The following is a 26987-nucleotide window of genomic DNA, read 5'->3' as shown; positions in this document are numbered from 1 at the left end:
TGAATACCTCCCTTTTTATAGATTAGTTAAATAAGTATAACTGATGAGTTTTGTTTTCTTTCATAATTTGTTATTCCTTTATAATTTCAATGGGGTTATCCAACAGCCTGGGAAAGAAACTAACCTAAGTTTTTCTCTTGTACTAACTCACGTATAGTTCCAATGTGCCAGGTCTCTGACTCAGATGATGGCAGTAAGATAAAAAGATTTTCAAAGGTTTAACCCAACCATGAAATATCTCCTTCCTAATGAAAAATTTTCTTGAACAAGAAATGGACAAAAACATAACAAAGTCTTCCTTCCTTCATTCATTATCTCCTTCCTTCTCTTTCATTGATTGATAGCATCATCATTTGTATTAAATGTGAAATTTGATTGCTATGTAGATAAACAGGATCAAGTGATATTGCTAGAGTGAGAAAATATTTAAATTTGACATGCTTTAGGAGAATGCCACATATTCCTTCATTATGATCAGGAACTGATAGTGGTTTAGGAGAAGACCTTTTTATTCTTTCTGACCTCTGTGTTTTCTCCTGCAGTTTGGAAGCTGTTCTTTCTTTCTTTTAGTGTTGTCTATTCTTTTCTTTACTTACTAATTGAGAGTTCACACATCTTCTCTGGAGATATTGTGGCGTATGGTTTTGCTTGTCCAATAGGGGGGTGTTGCATTTCTCCACATTCAGTATCCTTTTCCCTTGGATCCTGGGAGTAAAACCTCAGCAGTACTCCCTCCCTTTGCCAGCCTGAGGAGTCAGAGACTCAAAGTTGTTCCCAGCTCTTGCGCCTTCATTGTAGAGCTGCATTCTGCTCAGTGGGCTGCCGAGAAGGACCAGACCGAAACAAGATTTAGAAGAATTCTGGTGAGAACTGTTTATAGGGATATGGTATTTTAAAAGAATGTAGTAAACAAACAGAATTGTGGCATAAACAAAGATAATTAGCATAAACAATGTCGTTTTAGGACAGGTGGTTTAAAAAAACAAACAAAACAAAAAACCCAAATATGAACCCAATTTGAATGCTGCCAGTTTGGAACCACTGAACCTTAATCTGTACTTCATGAGAATTACCCAGGTTTGTTGATAAACTTGTTAACATGCGTTTTTTGTTTCTTTTGTATCATTTTCCGGTCATTATGCCCTTTTGTCACCCAGCTTGAAAGTAATTAATCTATTACAAGGTAGTTTAAGGAGTTTTTGCCCATAAAACATGACAGAAGGAAAATTTAAAACAAAAGCTTGTAGATGTTCATAGACATTTGAAATCAGTGTCAAACCTTAAATCAATTCAAACCTGAACTCGGCTCATTGTATTTGAAACCTCTCTTTTATCTAAGTAACATTTTAGTCACTTGGCTCTCTAGTGTTAATACATTTACTTTTGTCTTGCCTTAAAATTCAGAGATTTGTTTTGCTGTGGCTAAATCAGCATTTTTGTAGTATGTGTTTCTTTCTAAGTGTTGCTTATTTCTTATTATTTTTCTCTGTAACTTAGTGAAGGTGGTACAGCAGCGTATAAATGTATCTGATGATCATGCAATATGAGGATGCTGGTTATTATGAACCACATTATCTAAACCTACTATGCCGTCGTGATGAATTTTTATCTGGAGACATTTAGGTTTATTACTAAATGACGTTTTTTCTTAATGCCTTGTACTGAAATGTTTTGACTTAAATGAAATGTGGAGTGTGGTGAACAGAAAGCTGTTTATTTTTCTTGCATTAAGGATCAAAGTTCTTTATTGAAGTTAAAGAGATTTTTTTTTTTTCTCTTCACTTACTCATGGACAATGGGGACCAGGAATTCAAAGTGGGTATCTCTGATATTCTGTGGCCCTTCTCTTTGCTGAAATGAAAGCATTTGTGAATGAGTTTTGGTTTCTTGGAGTTATAAAATGTGTGTAAACTAGTAAACCATGTCTCATTCATGTGCTATGGAGATTTCTCGTACTTCAGGGACAAAAATAATTTGGCTACTAACGAATTAGGGCTACCTGCCAGTGCCAACACATAGTGTAGGTAAGAGGAACACTATAAAGAAAAGCTGCTGGCAGCAAATCCGTTGAAACTTTCATATGTAACAGCGTTTCTATTTCTGCTCTTCACATCTTTGAAAGAAAGTGTGTTTTAGAAAAGAAAATGTTAAAAAACAGAAGATATGATCTTTCTTAAAAATGTATGTGTAGCTCCACTTTAATATTTCTCATTGTGGAGATGCATGGGGTTTCATTATGTCCTATGCACTCTTGGTTCCCCTACCTTTCCCAATCAATTCTGTCACATTGACCAACCTAAGGATCAGATGCATTGAGAGTAAGTGTAATAGAGAAGAAATGAAATTCACTGCATAGAGCCAAAAAAAAAAAAAAAGCCTCAGAGCCTTATATGATTTTGATATTGGCAGTTTAAGGGAGTTAGATCAATTGGGACACTGAGCAGCAATTTTATAAAGGATGTGTCCTCTCATTCAGGGCTTCAGGAACATTTTCAAGAAAAGAAGGGAAAGAGTTAACCTGTGTTGCCTGTTGTTAATTTCTTAGTGTAGGAGTAAAACAAGAGGTAGACCCAAATCATGTTTTCTTGTCATATTTTTAATCAAAATTTATTTCAGAATGTTGTCAGTGTTTACATTAGTACTGAGTTTGCCTTTTTGTTTTTGTTTTTGTTTTTATATTAAGTACAATTGAAATACCAGGGAGATAGGTTGTTTGAACACTGGTTGTGAAACTTTTACATAAGATCTTTCACGTACCATTTTAAGCTATTTTATATTTATCTAATAAAAGATCATCCTAATGAAAAAGAAATACGACACTGAAAATGAGAAATATTCCTTCACCTAGGAGAACACAAGATAAAAAAGTAATACTTTATTATACTATTAATTTTTCAGTCACAGTTAATTAGGTTGCTTGACAAAGTTCTAAAACACTTTTATTCTAATTGCAAAGTTAAAGTATTATTTGTTTGCCTACAATTCTTCCTTTGGTTATTTGCCCTGGGCCAGTGTTTGTTGGGCAATGGTTTTCAAAGTCCAAAGACTTTTTTTTCACTGCTCTCCTGAGGTCCCTTTGTCATTTTTTTTTTTTTATTAGCTAGTGAGTTTCATAATATGTTTGAAAAGAGGTTGCAGGGGGATGTCACATATAATTCAGGTTAATATTTCCTTCCTTTTTTCTTATCTGTACTCTAAGAGGTCTATGTTGGAGATTCGTTAGGATAAGGTATAGTATTCATATTATTTAGTGTAGAACGGAATGAACTGGTGCTCAAACTATTCAGTTTAGTATGCATTCACTAATTCAACTTTGATCTTGAGTGATAACTGAATATAAAATATCAGATTCAGATTCTTTGTCATCTATGATACAGCATTATCTATTATTATATTTTATGTAATATACAAAGTACCAATAGTCAGGCAGAACACCTAGGAATGGTAAAAGAAAGATAACTATGAATGCTATTCCTGAGAGTAGAACTTCTGTTTTCCTCCAGTCCTAAATATAACTACAATTTGGGAAATAGAGGAAAAGGTATTATTTTTAGGACCCTAAGGATTATGATATATAAATATTTATAGTACAATTATTTCTAAAAATGTTAGCATTACTTGAAAAATAATATGGATCTAATTTGACCTATAAACAGTTTAAGAACACTTAGTGCTTTAAAAGCATTCTTCTAGAGAAATAAAAGCATATCCAAAAGATCCTGATAGCAATTTAAAGAATCAAAGTGATGGGGCAACATATTTGGACTTTTATAAGTAAATTAAAAGATAATTGGAAGTCACTAACAGGTATGTGCAGGATTATTTTAGGGAATATAATAGTTATACGTGTGTGCACATGCAAAAGTTAGAAAGCCAGGAGAAACTTTTTCATTTATAGGGCAGTTGATCTCTTGAATGAATCCTGCCAAATTCTAATGAAGCTGCAGTTTTTTCAAAAAATCTTGAAAGGAAGAAACATTTCATAGAAATACAAACAAGGTTCATTCCCGTTTTCTTGTTTGCAGCTCAGAATCCTGTGGCATGTGCTACAGGAACATATAATAGTATTCCATCTTGAAAAAATTGAAGGTGGTATTGTGGTGCATATTTAATGGAAAATTTGAACCGAAGACGTTGGGTGAATCAAGGTATGCTTGAGTAACATTTGGGGATATTTGAGGTTTTAGGTTGAGATAATATGAAAGTTGAGTGTTCAGGGTCTAAAGCATACCTATCAAATGAATGAGTTTGTGTGTGTGTGTGTGTGTGTGTGTGTGTGTGTGTGTGTAATACTTATCTCCTCTGTAAATAAAATAATTTCCTCTTCTAGGTTAAGATTTATATTTGCCAGTATCTTCATTGATTCTTTTGGAAATGTAACATAGTACAAAGCGCTATTAGCTAGATGTTAAGATCTCAAGTTCTAGTTCTTCTTTAAAAACTGAGACCTCTTTGACTCTTAAGAGTATGCATCTGTAAAATTAGAAGATAGGATGGATAATTTCTAAAATCAGTTAACTCTAAAATTTCATTACTTTGAACTACATTTGCAGTGTCCCTAGCTCCTAACTCTAGTGGTCAGAATTCTTGCATTTATGTAGCTATTTGGAGATTATCTCTATAGCCAGCCTTTACATATAGAAGCACTTCAGTTTACCTGTCAATTAGGTATCATTACACAGGAACAAGCAGCCATGGTGTCTCTTAGGAGTTTTTAATCTAAATACCATGTATAATTCTTATTTAGGATTAGGTGCCCAACTTTGCTCTGAGCTATTTGAAGTGTTTCAAAAGATAAGATTCACATTCTATGATCCTGAAACTCTCAGGCATCAGATCACTATTCTGAACAATTATAAATATTGTAAAAGATAAATTATATATGGTTAAATGAACAAGACACTATGGGGAAATATGAAAAGCATACGAGTGGCACTTTAGGTCAGGGATCTAAAAGTCTGTTTATAAGGATAAAAGAAAAGAAAAAATATGAAGAATCCGCAGGAGAGCATGAGTACAGCACAGGGGCTATGGACAGTATATGTCTTTATATGAATAATTAAAACATTGGGCTGGAAAGTAGCAAGATCAACTAAGATTACAAACATGTAGTCCAAAGAAAAATTTTGAGTGTTTCTCAAAATAAATAACTATTAGCATTACCAGGCCAGCCAATTTGATATGCATTATACTATAGTTGCTAGTTGGCAATTTCAAGAAAAGAAATGTTAAACTCTGCAAAGCAAGGGAGTAGAGCAAAAAGCAATGAAGTATGCATTTAAAAAGCTGTATCGAGAGAACAAGCTTCATATATTGTTAATATATTTGGCAGGTCGCATGCTGTTTTTTTAATGCAGTGTTGGAAAAACAGTGTAGTTATACCATCAGGAATATACATATCTAAGGTCCTTCCGCATTATCTCTACTTAGAAAATTTGTCTGTGGTATCATGAAATCTTTGTACAAATTAGTTTATATTTAAAATATAGATTCATGTATTTGAGATAACAGGAATTTGCTATGTTAAAATTAATTTTTTTTACAGAATAATTATGATGTAGATTTTTTTATTTGATTCCTGCCGCTTTTAATTTAGGCACAAAGAATGGGTATTATTCTCTTGTTCTCCTTCTATAGATATAAATGTTGAAAAAAGAAAGAAAGAAAATAACCTCACTGAACCAGCACTACATTTAGAACTAGGACCAAAGAGAAATGTGCAAATATCCTACTGTTAAAGCAGAAAGAAAATCTGGAAATCATCCAGTTGGGCAACTTACTGCTAATATATTTTATAATCCAGCATTTAGCTATATACAAAGTTGGCATATGTTCCTACAGTTTCTAAATCAAGAATTAGAACTTTGTGATGTATAAGTCACTTGCATCGTTTGGGTTTCAGCCATGCGTCTATGAATGGACTTAAAAATAAATATAAAATTATTTATCCCCCAATGCAAATGAGCCAGCTTAAGCTTATAAAAAATCATAAAAATATTTGGATATGTCTGAATGCAAGCTACTGCATTCAGATTTTTAAAACTAGGTTTAATTTTTGGCAAATGTAAAATGATCAGCACTTTAATAAAAATGATTTTTTGTTTAATAACATACTAGTCAGATATCTGCAAATTATTTCAGCATATAAAATAATACATGTAAGAAATTGGTTTACTTATATTTTAGTTTTGTAGTTAATATAATTGTTTTAAATGTACTTATGATTATTGATCCCAGGTAACGTGTACTTAAATAGCAGCAATGCAACTGTAGTTTCCTCTAACTGCTTAGTGCTCATAATTAAATATTCCAAAAACACATCTCTTGTCATTTTATATATAGGACATCTGATGCACTAATAGTTATTTTTGCAAGTATCAGTATATTAAGTATTTGAGTAATGAATTTGCTGATTTAACATATTCCTATGCTTTAAGATGCACAAATTAAAGTTCACTTATTTTTGCATAATCACGAAAATGAATCATTTCGTAGAATAAATGATTGAACAACTGAAAACAGTGATTTTTCTGTTAATCTAAGAAGTCACACACATACTATTGCTTTTTAAAGTATTCTTTGTACAAACATTTTGAAAACTAGAAAACATTAAATAACTTGACACAATTATGTGTACTAATCTAGCACATTATAGATTTTCATAGTAAAAGCAACATAAGAGGTTTTGCATTAGCTACATATTCTTTGGACTGTAGGTTAAGCTTGAAGAAATACATAGATTTCTTTTTATGTGGAGCTCTATAACAAGCAAACCAAATCACCTAAGAAACAGAACCCTTATTTTTGATAAAAAATTGTTTTCACTGATATAATCTGTTGAAAGCCAGAAGCCATCCAAAGTGCTGATACCAATTTAAGAAGATGATCTTTTGCCTTAATTATACATCTGGGAAATATTAGCTGAACATTTTGTGGAGAACAGTGAATACCTTAGTTGCCAGTTGTCTAAAATGCTGCTAATGATCGACATAGTGCCAGTGTTTTGATGGCTAAAACCTAGGCTGAATATGAATACAAAGAACACAGTTGGGGAAAAAAAAAAGCGCACATTTTATACAAAACAGATTTCAACCATCTGCTTGGCACTTAAGTTTGTGACTATAGGCATTATATGAAAGAGACCACTGTCCACGTTAAGAATGGTATTACTTTTATTGGTACCTTAGAAAAACCATAGGGTTTTGAATGCATGTATAACCAATGATTTTCTTCAGCTAAATAATGCAAACAAGGGCCTCAGCCAAAATTTTGTTCCCTCCATAATCTCTTCTATGTCAGTCTTCTTGTCCTGGCAAAGTAGGTTTCACTAATAAAGTAGGTCTTAGTGCTCTGCCTCAGGATATTAAATAATACCAGACAACACTAAGCAAGTGGCCCTTAGGATGAGAACCCCAGATGGTTATGAGATAAAGTACTGTTTGCTTTAGGAATAGGTTATATTCCTGAATCTGTTGCCTGAATACTATGGTGCATGTCAAATTAGCATGGAAGTTAATGGTCCAGAAGCACTTCTAAATTTAATGCTTTCCCATTTGTTCTGAATTTATAGTATTAAATCAGAGCAGTACTGTTTCATCACTATTTCAGTAAAGGAAAATCATGCTATGGATAGGAAATTATAGGCAAAATCTAATTGTTTGACCCATTTCATTTACCTAAAGGTGAGGGAGAAATCCTGAAATGCTCAATAGAAGAGTATTGGTAAATATCATATATTAGATGCTTTTACATTTGTAGACCAGTTGGCAAGAGCTATTATAGACTGTTCCTTAGCATTAGAGTAGGCAAAACATAAATTTTTGACTAAGTAATAATTTGACCTATTGTATTATCTTTAGCTGAGATATACTTTGTCTTTTTAAACATTAGGAAAATCAAGCTATTAGAATGTGTTAGCTTATTGATTTGTTGAGGTTATATATGTAGGTTGTGTGAATGGAAAAATACATATTGAGACCTTCTTAGCTCTTGACAAACAGGTATGTGATTTAGGAAAGTATAAAGAAACGCTCTCAGAGTCCCTCTCTATTTGTGCTCCTTTCTAATATGGTAGCTACTACTCACATATCATTATTAAAAGTTTGAAATGTGACTAATCTGAGCCAAAATGTGCTGTAAATATAAAATACGCACTGGCTTTCCAAGACATAGGTTCAAAGAAAGAATGTAAAATATCTTACTAAGTTTTAAAATGTTGATTATATGTTGAAATGACAGTAGGATATATTGGCACAAATAAAATCTATATTAACATTATTTTTATCTCTTTTTAAAAACTTGTTAAATATGACTACTAGAAAATTTAAAATTACACGTGTGCCTCATATTTGTGGCTCTCATATTTCTATTGGATGGTGCTGCTTTATAGCTTCCTGTGGATGGAGGGAAATCAAAACTTCTATCTTTATCTAGATTCTAGTGGTTCATAGCTCAGTATGGTAGCAATGAGTTAGAAAGACTTAGGGGTTTATTAACTGTCTTTATTCTTAGCCTTCTTCTACCACAAAGTGGAATTTTATTACTTTTTTAAAAGCTACAGTAGTTAACACTCACATTCACAGATGTGAATGTTTACCTCATGAATACTGTCACTTTCTTCAAACTTCCATGGAGTTACAATGGAAAGGAAGATGTTTGCTTAAGAATTATTTAAATTATTTTAGAGATTATATATTTGAAATGGGAAATTAGATTTACTTTTTTGAAATGCCACTATATGTATCTTTAATTTTACTATTGAGTTTTAAAGAAGTTTGTGGAGGGGTAAGAATACCTTCAGCTTTTGTATCCCAGCTGATACTACACACAGTTTCTTAAATTGACCCACAAGATGTGATCCAAACTTTCTCTATACATATGGAGATACACTTATAGAGATAGATATAAAGATAGAGCTAACATTCAGTATGTACTTATTATGTGCCAGACTCTGTTATAAATTGCTTTACATGCATTATTTCACTCTAGCCTCACAACAATCTTATTTTTTTACCTCATTTCACAAATGAAGAAAATGAAACAGAGAGAGTTGCCTAATTTCTAGGTAATAAGTGGAAAAGCTGGGGTACAAACTCGGACATTCAAACTCTAATTATCCCTCTTAACCATCACATTATAGTATTGATCTAGAAAATAATGTGCTACCATAACTTTATAATCTGTTATTTATTTTAGTGGCAGATATTTCTTTATTTATTCAACAACTACATTTTAAATTCCTACTATACCAGGTATTATATTAAATGCTGAATAAATATTGAAAATGTAGATGATATAAATGACATAAAATAATTGTGATATAAACTTCTAATTTTCTTCTGAATGAATTAACTCATTCATTGCACAAGGTGATATGCTGGATGGTGGATATCCAGGCATATATACACTTACGTAAAGGGTTTCTTGGTAATGGCTAACTGGAACTGTTTTTGAGAGATACTGACTTCCAGTTCTCCTTACTGGGAGAAGTGTAACTATGTAGTATTTCTCAAATATCCATTTCTCAAGTCCTTTGTAGTAAGCCATCTATTGAAATAATATCTTTACAGACAGGCAGTATTTTTGCTTAAAAAGTTTATCTGATTTGTTTTTGCTAGCTCAGTAGGCAGAAAGCCTCTTTACAGTATAGTAATTCTTAAGTGTGTCAGTGTTCACATCTCATGTGGGGATATTGATTTAGAAAAGTTGATGATGAATTGGTAAATAATGGTATAATTAATAGGATATTCTTTAATTTGTAGCCATGATGAACTGATTTTATTTGGGTAGCAGGAAGAGTGTGGTAATTTTGAGTAGAAAACTCAATTAGATATGATAAAATAATGTGACTGATAATATGATTGCAGCTTTATGGTAACGAGGCATTGGGGAATGGAAATGAACCTCATGTTTTTCAGCCACTGATTTTTCAGTTTTACTGATGGATGAATATGCGTTAATGTAGGCTTGATCCATGGATCTCTGTTTTAAGTCTTAATCTTTTAAGTGTTCCTCATGCAGATATGTCCAAGGCTTCTGTTACTTTTTCTGATTTCTTGATACCTTAGTAAGGAGAAGCCATCTAACTTTGTAGTTCCAAGAGTACTTTGGAGTCAGACTGCTTACATTTATTTTATAGCCTCATTATTGATTAGTTCTGTGATCTTTGCGATTTACATAAACTCTGCATGCCTTAATTCTTTAATCTGTGAATTGGAGATTATAATTATTCCCATATTATAGGTCATCTTAGTGCTTCAATAAGAAATCATTTATAACTTAGCATGTTTAGGAAATGTATGTTATGATTATTCTTTAACAGATGTTAATCATGTAGAAAGAGTTCTAAGAATACTCCATATAATATGGTAGGTAACATTGAACTACCTATGGATGTATAAATATCAAGTAAATTATGCTGAACATTATGTATTGTATAAACTGGTGGTTTATACAGGATTTATCAGAACTATGGCTGCTTAAGAGGATGAAAAAATATTTAAAATAAAATATTCATGTTGTATAATCATTTGTATTTTATATATTAGACATATATATTATAAATATATAATACATATACATCATGTATGTGTATAATGTGTATACATATATACACATCATATGTGATATACATATACATATGTATAATATATAAAATTGATTTTTGACATGAATATTTTATATGTATGTATGTGTATATATAAAGTGAAATGGGGGAAGAGAATTTCTAAAACTAAAACCATAGCTGGGAATAATTCTGAGTTACCTGACTCATAATGAAGTTTATGTTTATTATTTTCTAATGGAAAGAAGCTCACTATTGTATCAGTAATCACAATTGTTTTGGGAGCCCTGATATCTGAGGGAATAATTTATTTTATGAATCCTTAAAATGTCTTCAACAGAAGTATTACAGAAAATTCAGAGGCATTGTTCACATTGCCATTTTTAGTAGAGACCAGATAAGAAAAAGAATATTGAATGATAACTAACTTAGTGGAAGGAGGCATTTCTATAAGTAGCTAAACTAATGTTTGCCAGGTATGTAGATTTCTTGGTGAAAGGATACAGGCAGAGATCTAAGAAAAGGCTAACAAGTCCTTTAAACTATCTCCTTTAAATAACAGTTGTTACATCCAGGCTGTTGCTAAGAGATGAGGAACAATCAGTTCTTGACTGAGTTGTATTCTTGCCGAGATTGAGGGCACTCCCACCTCTGTCCTTAAATTTGCTCCAGGTTTAAGAGTATACAGAGACAAAGCAAGAATTTTCCTCAGGAAACACTTTTGGATCTGCTCAAGTACCTGAAGAGCATCCTGGTGAGACCCTAGAATTCGATATTGTAAACATAGCACAAGTTGTCTTCATTTGAAGCATGAAAACTTTATATTTACTGTTCTGATCCATTGCCATTTCTGCAAATTTTGAGCAATACTGCATCTCACTGGGCCCTCCAGGTTGACTTAATTTTGAAAGTCATCCTAAAAATTAAATTAGCAGATAAGGTAACTTTACATGCTTTCTCATGATTTATTTGCACATTTAGAGTGCTGTAGACATAGAAACATTTCCATTTTGATTTATTCATTTAGAAATATTTATTGAGCACTTACAATGTGAATATCAGTAGGTCCCGCTTATCTGCAAGGCAAGAGACATGCTCCACAACCCCCAGTGGATGCCTGAAACCATGGATAGTACCAGACTCTGTACAGTATATGTTATGTTTTTTCCATCTGATAATTGAGGCAGGATATATAGCGTGGGTAAAGCTGGACAAAGAGATGATTCAGGTCCAGGGTTAGCTGGAGCAGGATGGCTTGAGATTTCACCTTGCTTCTCAGAACAGCACATAATTAAAAACATATGAATTGTGTATTTCTGGAATTTTCCATTTAACATTTTCAGACTTTGGTTGACTGTAGGTAAATGAAACTTCAGAAAGCAAAACTATGTAAAAGGGGATCTAATACAAGTCATCTGGCAGGACAAAAGTACACATCAGTGTGAATGAAAGCAGTGGAGATGGCTACTATAGGGAAGAGTAGGGAATAAGAAGGACATTTTACAATTTATCATTTTATCAATATGAGAATATTACTTAAAAATACTGCTCTTTTCCACTTGCAAAGTAACACTTATCTTCAAAACTAATGGTTTTGTCTGTGGCATAATTATTCTAGAACTTCTGTTTATGACAACATTTAGGTACTTTTAGATCATGATGGTAAATCTAAGTGATCAACCAAGAAGATTTTTGATTTTACATTTGCTGTAACCGAAAACATTGTGGTCACCTAAAAAATGTTCATTTAATCAGATACAGAAACCTTTTTCATTTTTCTCCTTTTTTATTTCAAAAAAAATAAAAAACAAATGTACTGAAAAGTTGAAATAATAACACAATGAACACCTCTATACTTTTTACTATTAACTTTGCCCCCTTCACTTTCTATTTCTTTCTTTTCTGATTCACTTGAAAGTAAGTTAAGGCTAACATACCTAATATAAGGTCATTCTCTTATATAATCACAATAATATTAGCAGATCCAAGAAAGTTAACATTAATACAGTAATAACATTTGACATACAGTTCATATTCACATTTTCTAACTGTCCCAGTAATGCTTTTTATGTCTTTTTCAAAAAGTTAAAATCAAGGGTCCAGTCAAGCATCAGATATTGCATTTAGTTTCTAGTCCCTTTAAAGTATAAATAGCACCCTGCCATCTCTTTGCCTTGACATTGACATTGACATTTTTGAGGAGTCCAGGCCACTTGCTTCATGTAATGTCTCACGATCTGGATTTGATTTTATCCTCATGGTTAGATTCAGGTTAGATACAGGGCTCTTAAGACAGGTATTGGACCATCATTCTTTTTTATATCACTTAAGATTGTAATTAGATCTGTCAGAAGTAAGTACCTACCAAGTTCAGATTTTGGTGTACCAGGTTCATGGAAACTTTTTTTTTTTGGCTTAGATTTTTAAGAAATCTAATCTGTTCTCAGAAAGCTATCTGAGCTATGGTGATTTGTCTTGCATAGAGTTTAACTGACCCTTGTTGAGGAAATAGGGCTTCCTTAGTTCAAGAAACCATTACCACATATTCATAATGTCTACTCTGAAGATAGCCATGAATACCATTTTTTGCAGGTAATCTAAAAATATTGATTACAAAGTCCGTGTAATAACATGACATTGTATAAGTGTATTTTGTTAGAGTTCATACTTAGAACTACAACATTTGTTCTTTATGAAAAAATGCTAGATGCTACTTACCTCAGTCAGAACAGATTCAACTCATTTCCTCATTTGTCATTCACTGTTCTCACAAATTGAAAATCAGAAATAATCTTGTTTAAAGTTTCTAAAACATTTAATAAATTTTGAAAAAAATTAGAAGCAAGTACAGGCTATTCTCTTTTAACTCTACTATTCTGCTCTTTAAGAAATATATTTCAAGATCTATGGAGTGACATTTTCGTTACCAAAGTTTCCTACTTCTGTGTTCTAACTACTTTATACCATGCCTCTCTATTCAAACAGAAGAGTTATCAATTTGAAAATTGCCCCTCTTTAGAGGTAATGTACAGCACAGGCTCTAGAGTCAGATCCCTCTATTCAGATCTTGGCTATACATTTCACTGGCTGTGTGATGTGAAGCTAGTTACTTAACCTCTCTGAATTCCATCTTCCTCATATGTAAAATGGTTTTTTTGTTGTAAGTAATTGTATGTATGTAAACTGTTTGAAATTGGACCACGTATATAGTAAGCACTAAATAAATAGTAGCTATTAATATTCTTGATGATGAATTGTCAATATTTGCAGTAACTAATAGGGATTCCTGAATAGCACTTGGACATTAGAACAGATTTTTAAAGCAGTAGTGAAATATTTGTGCATTCTTTCATGAAATACTTATTGAATATTTTGTGTGTGCTAGACACTGCTAGTTTCTAGAGATTTAAAAATGAATAAAAATATATAGCTTTTGTCCCTATGAAGCTTATGGTTTGGTGGGAGAGACATACTAAGCAAGCAATTGCAATGAAGGAAAATATGAATGGGGAAGTAAGTTCAGGTGTTATGGTAGAACACAAGGAGTCCTAATCCTGTTCTGTGTGTTAGAGAGGGTCTTTCTGAGGAGAAGGTGAGAACCGAAAGCAAAGAATGATACATTTTCCAGACCTAGACAGTCATATGGGCCAGGAGTGTGGCCTGTAGGGTAAAATCCTCCATAGTTTATGAGTCTGGTTCTACCATATGCAAGACGAGTTCCCTTGGGTAAATTCTTTAACTTCCCTGGGACTTCCTCAGTTTACTCATTTGTGAAGAGGAGATAATAATAGTACCTGCCTCACAGGGTTGTTTTGAGAATTAAAAGAGATGATTAAGAACAACTAAGAACTGTCCTTTTCACCTTTTGAGTACCTAATAAATGTTGACTATATTATCAGAGGATTCAGCATGTACTAAGTCCTGGTAACACCAGTAAACCACTTGAAGGACCCAAAACACCTTAATTTATTCCTTAGATATGACTGTACCATGAGTCTATGTTGCAAATTCCTTCAGCTTTCATCCTCCTCCCTCTATAAATATATACAGAGCTTTCTTTTGTAGGTTTACTTGAGCCTGATCTTCAAAACACAAGTCTGAATATCAAACTGAGCATATTTATATTTTTTCTTGGTGTATTAATAAAAATGGCATTTTGTGAGAGCAAAAAATAACCTAGCCAAATTGCTACATTCAGGTAAATTTTAAATGGGTTTGAATAAATTAAAAATGAAGCATTCTACCAATGTTCTTGGAAAGTTTCTGGAACAAAGTCTGCTTTACCAGTGTGAACAACTTAGCCATTTTCTCTGCATGTTGCCCTCCTCCCCACATGACTCAGTAACGCAGTTACATTTATTGGTTGTTTACTTTTAATGCCCTTCATTCCACTAAGGTTTGTGAGGGGTGAGAAAGGGAGCTCCAGAATGCGTGGTTTGAATTGGAAAAAGATGTTGTGTGGTCAGAATGAGGATGAGTAGAGAAATTGTAGGGAAGCTTTGGTTTTGAACAGCCTGTTGATTGTCCTCTTTTATTAAATGGAGATGCTAAAGAATGATTTAATTTGATTAAACTGTTGTTATTATCCTCTTCATGGATGGACTCTGATAAACTTCAATGCTGTTTTTTAACTGCAAAATTTCTAAATATAACATTTTCTGTTGGTTCAATATAAGCTGTCGTGTTATGTCTTAAAAAGTAGTAGTTCTAAAAATTGTTTTCACAGGTATTAAATATCAGGTGGAAACACGTATTTTTTAAAAAAATTAAGAATTGTAAAAGTATAGATTATATTGATGTATGCTATTTAATTATATCTCCTTTTGTGAGCTTAATTATGACTAGTTGGATTTTGTTAGAAAGGTTGTTGTTGTTTTTTTTCCTCTTTCACAGTGGGATTAAATAATTTTAATGGCTAAAAGGTTCATTTTCTCTTTTCTGTATTGGACACTTATTGTCAAATGCTCAGATAAATGCTAGCCCCATGATGTGTGAACTTTGACTCATACTTAGGAGACCCCTGAATGTAATTGGCTAGCTGATATTCAGCTCACAGCACAGAATGTTTTTATTCAGGAAAAAAATGAGGGTGGGAGATAATGAAGCAACATTATCCTTTTTAACAGTTTCTTAACTGATAGTTTTGCTTTTGCTTTAAAAACTCTCTTTCATTTATATCATCGTTCAATATATAACTTTGTTTCCACAATGTAACATACTTTCAGAGTTTATATTAGTTTGTTGGTTTTTTACAGACTTTAATGTGAGAATAATCCATATTTGGAAGGAAATGCATTGTTGTTTAAGGAGTTGCTCTTTGTGAGATAATTCAAAATCTCTTCTGATTGTTCCACTTTTAATTTATACATATGTTTGTAATACTGCTATGGCTTTCATGTTAAGCTTTTCTGTGTTTTTGTTTCGTAGAAGGCATTTTTTTAAAAAAACACTACCAGAGCAGTCACTTAATTTATTATAATTTTCTTTCAGATATTATTTTAGTAATTATATTTACTTGCAATAATTTAGCAACAGCTAATTGATAATGAATTGACAGTTTAAACATAGTAGTGGATAATAAAAATTAAACACCCATACAATAAGCAATTTTCTTTTAGGTTCTTGATCTTTAAGTTCCAAATTTTTACTTTTTACCTATTGCCTGCTACTTTTATTAGCCATAAGACCTTAGATGCTTAAAGATAATTGTCAAAATTATAACTTTTTAAAAATTAAAAGTCAGGAATTTGAAAGTGGTATATTTCCTACTCTAAGAGCAAGCAACATTAATTTCCTTGTTTATAAATGGCTGGTCTATTTTGTATATGGAATGAATAATGAAAAATTAAGGAAAAGTGCTTTTATTGTTTATTGTTTTATTATTTTACTTTATTGTTTAAAAATAAATAAATTTATAATTTTCTATAGTTTATGTATTTCAGCTTAACAATGAATAAAATGCATAAAATTGTTTTTATATGCTTAGAAATTCATACGTCTAATGATACTAAAGGCATTAGGTTTCATACATCCTCTGAATGTCAGTTTCTTGGGCTTTAATATTAAAGAGTTCTATTTCAGTTAAAGTGTAACTTATCAATTCCCATAAAATTCCTTGGCCACACCCGAGTACTGAGCAACATTAAGGATAGAGAGGAAAATCTGCATTTCTGCTTCAAAAGGGCCCTCTGCTAATGGATGTTGAATCTCTGAGATCCTGGTTTTCGTGGCTGTTTGGATTTACTGTAGGTCCTATGTTTTTCCTGGTACCTAGCCCTACTCAGACTTCTTAGCTTTTCACCGGTATTTTCTCTGGGCTCATTTGGCTTCCCTTCAGGTTTTGTTACCTTATTTCTCCAGGGAGCTGTGCTGTACTCCACTGTCCTTCCTCATGTGCCCAGTAGATTTTCACTGGGGAGCTCCATGACTGTTAATCGCCCTGGTTCCATCCTCTCCAGTTGCTCCTTGATGCTCTTACTACTGGAGAGTGCATTTCATAGCCATCTAATGGCTACTAAATCTTCTGGGTTCTGGAAAATGTAATGCTTTTCTGGAGACAGATAAATTTCAAGGTGAGCTTATTTGTGACTTTGTGAGGATCTCTATGTTTTGCGGAACATGATATTAGCACACTGAAAGGTATAAATAGAGTTTGGTCTTACTCGTGATCATCAAAGTGTAAGTCATTTACAGCAGCATACCAATGGTTCTTGAAGACAAAGTGCAATCAAGCCGAAGTACTATCTTACATATTTGTTAAAGATGGATTTTAACATTGTAGTTTCTTTTTTAGAAAAAAAAAATGATGTTATAGATGGTATAACTTGTCCTTAAACTATGATGGAGAGACTTTAGACTTTATATAGTCTGTGAGGTAAACAGGAAAATTGAAATAACTATTGGTCATGATCATCATTATTTTAACAAGATGAAGGATTTTCCACTAATTATGGAAAATATATTGTCTCAGATCTTAGATCCTGTAGCCCTGCCTATATGTATGTCCATATGTATGTATGTGTGTATATAAAGCGAGAATGAAAGAGAGGGAGATAAAAAGGAGAGAGAGAAGGAGAAAGAGGTGTTAAGTTGGAGAAAAATAGAGATAGTGATGAAGAATGAGGAGTGGCTTTAGTAAAATGGTATGAATTCTTCACAAAAGTGATATACCTCCAGTGGAAAGGATAGCCCTTCTTTCTCCCGTAAGTAGAAGTTACCAGAGAGCCAAGAGCCTCCCCCAGAATGGTTACGTAGTTTATTTTAGGTGAATTTGAATAACTGCTATAATGGTTAAAGGCAGTGAAGAAGTTTGCTAATTTATAAGAATGTTTTATAAAGTTGATTCATAAAATCCAGACTATAATCCTTTTGGAAAAACAAAGCAAGGAATGTCCAGTTTTTAAAATTAGGTTCTCTAATAGTGGTTGTTCTAATTTTTAAAATTTGTATTAGCAGATCATCTTTTTCATTTTTTAGTAGTAAACATGACAAATAAGAATTGTGAGGTCCTTTCTGGCATACAACAAAAAGTTCTTTATCCTATTACCCAATGCAGATGGATTTTAAGTCCTCTGGGATAGGCTTCTTCTTGGTATTTCACTCTCTCCTAAAGTTGACGAACCTTGCAATCTAAGTATTTTGAGAATTGTGCTTCTCAAAGGCATTTTCCCTGTAGATCATTTATGACTTGACAAGCATATCTCATGGACAGCCTTAGCCATATACTATTTGTTTGACACTATTAAATAAACACTCAAATCTGTCATCAAAATTATGCTTTATTTTGTAGGACAAAAATGTATGTGTCAGTTCTTTAAAACAAAGAAATGAATTGCTATCAGGAAAAAAAGCATAGGATTTTGAATATACCAAACATAATCCAAAAGTTCAGGTAAAGCATAGGATTTTGAATTTACTAAACATAATCCATAAGTTCAGATAAAGCATAGGATTTTGAATATACTAAACATAATCCATAAGTTCAGGTGTCCTCACAGGAACATTGATTAAAAATATACTAAACCTATGAATTAGTAGTATTTTGTATCTTTATAATACTCGCTTTCCCCATGTAGATGATTTCTTGCCTGAAAAGCACAGCTTACCTATTTTCTTCCTTCCTACTACATATATTACAGACTCTGAGACGTCCAGTAAAGAAAAAGAAAGAAAACTTGTTTCATGTAGCTTACCCCTAATTTATTTGGTGAGAGAAATTTTCTTCTTACAGTGCATCTTCTTAGGAGATGTACCACTGAATACAAAATTGAAAATACCTATTTAAAGAGATTCTAAAAATGTGAGGAGTACATCTACAGATTCAACTAATTTCAGTAAAAAGTATTACAGTAAATAAATATGAGCCAGTTAGCAATTAAAATACCAAGCCATCCCAGTGTCCTGGAACTATCAAATTGATTATGGATAACTCCAGCATGTTACTTCCCTTACTGAGTCTGTTCTCACAGCAGCCTGCAGGGCTGATACTTAGTTGCTATAACCAGTATGGTTATATTGGTTATTGATTGCCAACATTTATTCTAATTGGTTGGTGCCACATTATATTTTTTGTGAGATATTTTATTTATCATTTTTAATTACACTAAAGGTGATTGTAAGGGTTAAGTGAAATATTATTCATAACATTGTCAGAGCAACAAATACCAGCATAACTTTTGTTAGTTTGTTTCTAAGATCAGTTTATTTATAGGAAAACTTGGATAAACAAATAAGATTTATATCACTTCCCCAAAAATGTTATTGTATCTTGAACATATTTCCTTTGCTAAAATCATTTATGGCCTAGAATATTCAGCCTCAAACAATAAAATGTGATTATAGACCTCTTCAATATAATTTTAAAACAACCCTGTAATAACTTTCCTCCATACAGATTACTAGTCACCATTTACATTTACTGTTCATCTTCATATTTAACTTGACCTTGTGATGGAGTTTTCAAAGGAAAATACTTTTTCTGGCACCTATCACTAAATTACCAATTATATTCTGAAATTGCCTGTGAAGTTTTTCTTGTTGTATAAGACAGGAGTATTACAGAAGTTGATGTCACGGACCAGCTATGAACCACTCTCCTATAAATTGGATATTAGTGACATATTAAAAAATCACACTGATGTACTACTTGCCCTCTACTAAAAATTAACATTAACTCTATTCAGTAAATTATTCAAATGTAACACACACAGAATTATCAAGACATACTATGCATTTTTGATTTGTGAGAGAAATTCCATTGAATTCTACCTAAAATAGAGAGCCAAAGCATTGTACTGATTTATGAGGTCATAATTGTGATCTGTAGCTACATTATGAAAATATTATTTTGCTAGGATAGTTATAAAATCTCATACCTATGGTAATATATTTGTGATAATTTGTTGGCATGATACATGAACAATACACCATGGCTTGGGTTTTCTTTTTTTTTTATTGATCATTCTTGGGTGTTTCTCGTAGAGGGGGATTTGGCAGGGTCACAGGACAATAGTGGAGGGAAGGTCAGCAGATAAACAAGTGAACAAAGTTGGGTTTTCTATTAACTTATTTTATGAGCAAGACTGAAAGAAGTTTAAAATTAAAATGATAGGGATTTAATCATATGAGCTTAACCAAACTTTTTTTTTCAGTTAAAAATACTGACCTTGTTGAAGTGTCAAGTATTTGATGACCTGAAGTCAATAGTAATAATTTAAATACCTAAGAAAAACCAACGCGAAGCAACTTCCTGCTATATCAATTCTGTGAATTCCTGTGATCTTTTTTCAAAATTCCTTTCCTTTAAATTTCACATTTTAGTAAGTATCCTCTAGGAATGATAACAAAAATGGAAGGCTGAGATACTGGTAGCCTGCAAGTTATAGACTTTACAAATGTAATATTCCTCCGTTGCACCTGATTTAAACCTGCATCACCTTCACTTACAACTAAGGACATTCTGATAGAAAGGGAAGAAAACATTATATTAGCATTTTTGGTGCTTTCACCAAAATTTCACTGTAATTTGTCAAATTATATAAGGCCTTTGTAAATCTGGCTTCCCATAATTTTAATCTACCATGTCACCTTGTGTAATTTCTTGATGATAAAGTCTGGTCCTAGGTCTGTAAAAAAAAATGCAGGAAGAATTGCTACAACAGTAGCTACAGGCTGAGGAAGTAGTGACAACGTAGCCTATCAAGTGTGAAAGAAGCAATAATATGATACGTTTCTCGCAGCTTAATCTCTGATGTTAAATTCATGTGAGATTTTTGATATTTCCATAACATTCATAAATTTTTAAGATCACTTAGCTAGTCTAACATACTAAATATTTTATCTTGGTACAATTCTGTAAATATTTGTTGAATGTATACTAAATGCAAAGCCTTTTTTAGGCAACATTTGTGGAAAAGGTATGACAAAAATTCTCCCTCAATGTTTTTCATTTGAGTGGTAGAAAGGTTTATATAAGCATCACAAGACCACTTTATAGAACAACTGCAGTAGATATCCATAAAATGTCATTGAAGTCCTAAGAAGTGAAAGATAAATTCAAACTCTGAAGATTAAAGAAGGTTATATAATGGTGGTGGCTTTCAAGCTAGAGGTTGTATAGGCTTTTGGAGCACCCCAGAATAGGGTTGAAAGGACATTTCAGATTTAGCACCAGCATAAATAAAATCACGTAATCATGATCAGCTTTGAACATGGCAAGAATCTCGTGTGACTCAGATACAGGATATAAAACATATAGGCTGGGGACAGGCTATGGAAGACCCTAAACCCCAAAATTGGCTGTTATTTCATAAGCAATAAAAAGTATTGTTCTTTGAGCTTGGGGCGGGGATTGCATTATGGAGTTTATGATAAACTATCTTTTGGTCATGGCACTTCTTAATTTAATGACATGTGATAACTCTAAGTTGCCTGCAGCATCCTCATGGCTCAGTGCTAGGTATATTTTTGACATTCAAGTGATGTTTATTAAATAATCGGAACTTAATTTCACCTTCTAACTGTTTATCTATTTATCTAGCTGTTTGTCTACCGATTCCCTACCTTGCATTCTAGTCTCTAGCTATTGTATATCATTCTATATTTCTTTTAATTATTAGCTTACATTATGCTTTTACGTATTCATTCATTCATTCATTCATTCATTCATTCATTCATTTATTTTTGGGTGGTTTAACCTCATCCTTTAAGAAGCTTCCCTTGGCCGGGCATGGAGGCTCACGCCTGTAATCTCTGCCATTTGGGAGGCCGAGGCGGGCAGATCACGAGATTGAGGTCAGGAGATTGAGACCATCCTGGCTAACACGGTGAAACCTCGTCTCTAGTAAAAATACAAAAAATTAGCCGGGCGTTGTGGCGGGCGCCTGTAGTCCCAGCTACTCGGGAGGCTGAGGCAGGAGAATGGCGGGAACCCAGGAGGCGGAGCTTGCAGTGAGCCGAGATGGCGCCACTGCACTCCAGCCTGGGTGACACAGTGAGACTCCGTCTCAAAAACAAAAAAAAAAAAAAGAAGGAGCTTCCCTTGACTAACTGAGAGTCGTGTACTCCCTCTGGGATTCGCACAGAATCTTCTTTCTACCCGTTTCAGTATGTTTACCAGTTGTTTTTCCTCACGAGACTGCAATGTCACTAGATTGTGAGTGCGTCAGCTAAAATTCATTAATCTTTATTTCCTCATGCCAAGCACAATATCAACACTACAGAAGTACTTATTGAATTGGATTGAGTTTTCAAACTTAATATAGATTTAATAGCACTTGAACTTATTTTTAACATAGGATATATATGACACATGTTACATATAAATGTTATGGAAACCATTTATCTATCGGATCTCATTTTCTCTGTAATAGCGTCTAAAGACTGGTTTCAACTTCACCTGTGCATATGAAGCAAAATATAGTAAATCAGAGAGTAATATTTGTAAGACACAAGTGACCCATGAATGCAGGTGGATTTCCTGTTCTTTTCTTTGTACTCAAAGATATTTTTCTTGACAGAAAACCCTTGGTTTAGTTTGTGGACTGTTAATTGTAAATTTAAAGGAGAAAAATATAAGCACTGTGTAGGGGTTGAATTTCAAATATGATGTTTTTTGAAGAATCATAGTGAAATTCTTATATTCTAAATGATATATTGATAATGGACACATGACATTAGACATTTTGTTCTTTCCTATTATTTTGTTTTTCTTTCTTTCTTTCTTTCTTTTTATCAAGACTGAACAGGAAGCTGTATTGGCAACCACCACATTGGGTGGGATTCAGAAGGAGGTGTACCAGAAAGGAGTGAAAACAAAGATTGCTTTGGTCTTTTTTAAAGGACGAACACACTAGCTGGTTTATAGTATTATTCCTCCCTGAAAAAAGTGGGAGCCCAGGGGGGGAGTTGTCTGGTGTTTCGGCTAGTCCGTCTTTTAGCCCTGCAGACTATAATCATTTTTGTATTCTTTGCCCTTAATGAAATAATTGTTATATGCTGGAAGTTAGTGATTGCCGTTTTGGGTAGAATGAGGGAGTTTTACTTTGAAAAAAATAAATTAGTAATGGAGTGGCAGGGAAGAAAAGACAGAACAGCTTTTCTGTTTTCCGGTTTGGATTCTGCTAGTGGCTTTGCTGCCTTGCCTGCAGTGATGGGTATTGCCAGAACTTAGGGAAAAACAAAGCGAAAATGGCAACATCTCTTAGGAAAATCTGTAAGATTGTAAGAAGGCTGGGTGGTTGTGGGGAGTGTGAGTTAGAGAGCAGATGCCTTTGGTCTGAGTTTCAGTCCTCACAGTCTGTTTGCTTTCTTGCTTTGAAATATTTTTTGTTTCTACCTCCTTGGTTTACAGGGAGCTGGGGAGGCTCGTTTTTGTTGTTGTTTTGAAATGTAAGTTTGCCAACAAGTGAAACAGAAAATAACTGCTGTGACAGACATGTCCCCTAAGACCTTTGCTTCTAAGGGAAACACCTCAGCTTCATGTGTAAAAACAGAGACCCCAACATTGGAATACCAAATTCTTTTTGTCTGCTGTGCAATATGAAAATGTAAAATTGTCCCTTTGGATTTTTGACTTTTTTTTTTTTTTAAAGATCATATCAACTTTGAGGTCTTAGAGCAATAGTTTCACTGCTGCCATGATTTGCCTTTCATAGGGCGTACATTGTGCTAGTGCTGAACAGCTGCTTTAAATTCTACTTATGAACGGAAATTTGAGGTTTTAAAAATGCTCGTATTTAATCATGATCAGACCTCTTCTGATTGATGCACTGCTCCTGTTGATTATTTTGTACTTCTTTATTAGGCTTCCTTGGCAGCACAGGGACTATTCTAACTTGGGTTCCCTTGAGAGCATATTAGGTGGATTATGTACCAGTAATTGTTTTAACTATATAGATGGAATAATTATTTTGGATATTTGGACAGTCACTCAACAAATATTTCATGTATCAGACACTGTGTTAGCCCAAAGAATATAGAAATGAAGAAAATATACATGATCTCTGTCTCATAAAGTTTATAGTGTAAATAGTAGCTTTATCTAGTTATCCATTAAAAATTTTATATGCCCTTTTCATAATACTTGTTCTTAGCCATTATCACTATTATTAATAGACCTTGTAAACAGGATACTTTTGTTTTGAATCATGCTATTTTGCATACATATATTATACAAACTGCTTATTTTGGAGGACCTCAAATTAAGTAACTATGGAAAATTCAGGACTAGGTAAGATTTTTCAGATTTTCTCCACTAACATACTTCTTTTCTCCCACTTATAGACAGTTTTGGCAAGCATATTGCATAAGGAGTAGGTCCATGGATAAAAGCAATGGTATTCTTGTTTTCTTTTAGCTCTTCATGAGAAGATTCATGGAAACAATGTCAAGAAGCTTCTACTTCCAATTCATATGTCATCTGCCCAAAAGTTGTGATTCCTATACTCAACTTGGACCTAAATCAAAATGGGAAATAAGATAAAAGAAGCAGAAGTGCCAGTAGTCCATGCTGGGAATTTTGTCTTAGAGCTAGTCTATTACTAATCTAGAGAGTCATCTATCTAGGCTACCACATTTTCATAAAGATTGTAATAGGCAGTCTTAAAGTTTGTCTCTTACTTGAAATACACCAAGGGCCATCGCTAAGTGAAATACAAACAATATCTTAGAATTAGAAAATGACTTCAGGTAAATTAAAAGTAAACAAAAGGCAACTATTATTAAAAACATTCTTTTCTATCGCTTTTTGTAGAAAACATTTAGTTGTATTGGGAAATTTCTATTTCGAAGTTTATTAAAACTAACTTTTGTGGGGTTTTTTTTAGCAGAGATTAGAAAAGGTTTTCAGAGAAGGGAAAATGCCATAAGTGAGTAGACTTTTAGGCAATAGCGCTGATTAAATAAATGCCGATGTTTGGCAATAGGACTGTGGAAGATAGATGAGATATATAACAGAGTCTACTAATCCTGTTTACAGGATTTTCTGGGACAGTTTCAGTGTCAAATATAATAAAAAACCATCCAAATTATCCAAAAGTCTCTCCATTTTGGACTCTGTATTTTTCAAACTGTCTCACTCATTCATAACTGGTACAAATATATTTGCCAGAAGATATGCCATTTTTAGGGTTATTTTTGTAAAAGATAGTTTCTGTCTGTAATGCACTTCAGAGAAAATCTCCAGTAGAAACCATGTAGTGGCTAAAAGCATAGACTGTGAGGTGAAAGGCTCAGGGTCGAATCCTGCCCTGCTACTGAAGTTGTGGGACTTCAGGCAAATCACTTCACTTCTGATCCTTGGCATCTCCTGACCTCCATTCCTTGGCTTCCTTGGCCGTAAAGTAGAGATAGGAATAGTACTCACTGGCATGGTGGTTGTAAAGATTTGATAGGTAGGCAGGTAAATAAGTAGATAGCCAGATATGGACATATAGCTCAGTGTGATATCTTAGTTGCTATATAAGTATTAGCTGCATTTTATTACCACATTTAGATGAAAGAACTATGGCTGAAGTGACAACAAATACCAAGATATTTTGAGATAGTTCTAATATTGAATGTATTGTTACTGTTTAATTCACATTAAACCAAAGGTCACAAACTTATGTACTGGCTATGGGTGTTTCTTGTTTTTCTTTTGATTATACTAACATTAAAAACCTGGACATTCCTCATAAAAATCCAGATTTTTGGTTTTTCATGATTGTATGAGTTAGCTACATGAAACTACCAATTTCACCTGCAAACTGTGAACCTCAGTGAGGTCACAGGAGCCATTCTAGTTGGGGCACATGCTCAGGTTTCTTCAGCTTACCTGTCACTTAAACCTCCCCACCACCCCAAACACACACATGCACAATGCAGGCATTTGCTCAGTCATCTTCATTACTCATTGATATTACCTATTAATTACCTTTCAGTCTCTGGATTTTTGTGATTTTCTGCAATGTGACCTGATTTTTAGTGTGATTTTTTAAATACAATTTTGGCTGTTTGGGGTAAAATGGAAGAATTGGGGGCCATTTTTCTTTCTTTCTTTTTTTTTCTTTTTTTTGAAATGGAGTCTTGCTATGTTTTCCAGGCTGGAGTGCAGTGGCACGATCTTGGCTCACTGCAACCTCCACCTCCCGGGTTCCAGTGATTCTCCTGCCTCAGCCGCCTGAGTAGCTGGGATTACAGGCATGTGCCACCACGCCTGGCTAATTTTTGTATTTTCAGTAGAGACGGGGTTTCACCACGTTGGCCACAATCTCCTGACCTCAAGTGATCCCTCCACCTGGGCCTCCCAAAGTGCTGGGATTACAGGCATGAGCCACCACGCCCGGCCCATTTTTCTTATATATATCAGTCCCTGAAATATAGGCAGGTAAAATATTTGAAAGGCATGGTTAAGTATAGCAGAACTCTAGTATATGCCAAATCCTTACAACTAGAAAAATAATCAACAAATAAAGAACCATATTCATTACCTGAGATGAGTTATTGGGCAAAATTTTCGATCTCATTTTTAGTTAATCCTAAAATATTGATTATTGCTAGCTTCAGGTATTTTAACTAGTAATTTAAGACTTAGTCCCTTCTTAGTAATAGAAGGATATGTGACATTTGGAGAAAAGAGAAGATGCTAAAATTGTATGCCGTTGTTACCCCGAATTAGAACTCTCTAGGAACCATGTCCTTTAAAATACTTTGACTAAACGAAAAAATGCCAGATGAAAGACAGTAAAAATTACTTATGAAATGGAAAAACAGAGTTAAGGAAAATATTACAGTTGTATTGTTAGTAGGCATAAAACATGCATATAATATTCTCATGTATCTGTCTACATACATAATATATAAATACATGCTGTCTTAGAGGAAGAATGAAGAAAGAGTAAACATTTCAAATCTCCCATCAGTCTTAGAATATAACTCATATAAC

The 26987-nt window shown here is 33.4% G+C and overlaps 1 protein-coding gene across 42 annotated transcripts in view; it reads left to right on the top strand.

The window, feature by feature from the left end:
* The window catches only part of SOX5 (SRY-box transcription factor 5), a 1033147-nt gene that overhangs the window by 617617 nt on the left and 388543 nt on the right, over window positions 1-26987 (top strand). The window contains exon 1 of one of the 42 annotated variants that reach the window (XM_011520837.3): window positions 722-863. The exons of the other annotated variants lie outside the window; for them this stretch is intronic. The gene's annotated coding sequence lies outside the window, so the exon portion shown is untranslated. Of the gene's footprint in view, window positions 1-721; window positions 864-26987 lie in introns of those variants that run through there. 42 annotated transcript variants of the gene reach the window in all.

This window comes from Homo sapiens, chromosome 12 (assembly GCF_000001405.40).
Source record: "Homo sapiens chromosome 12, GRCh38.p14 Primary Assembly".
In the NCBI taxonomy this organism is placed as follows: domain Eukaryota; kingdom Metazoa; phylum Chordata; class Mammalia; order Primates; family Hominidae; genus Homo; species Homo sapiens.
This window is presented reverse-complemented; position numbering and strand designations above follow the sequence as displayed.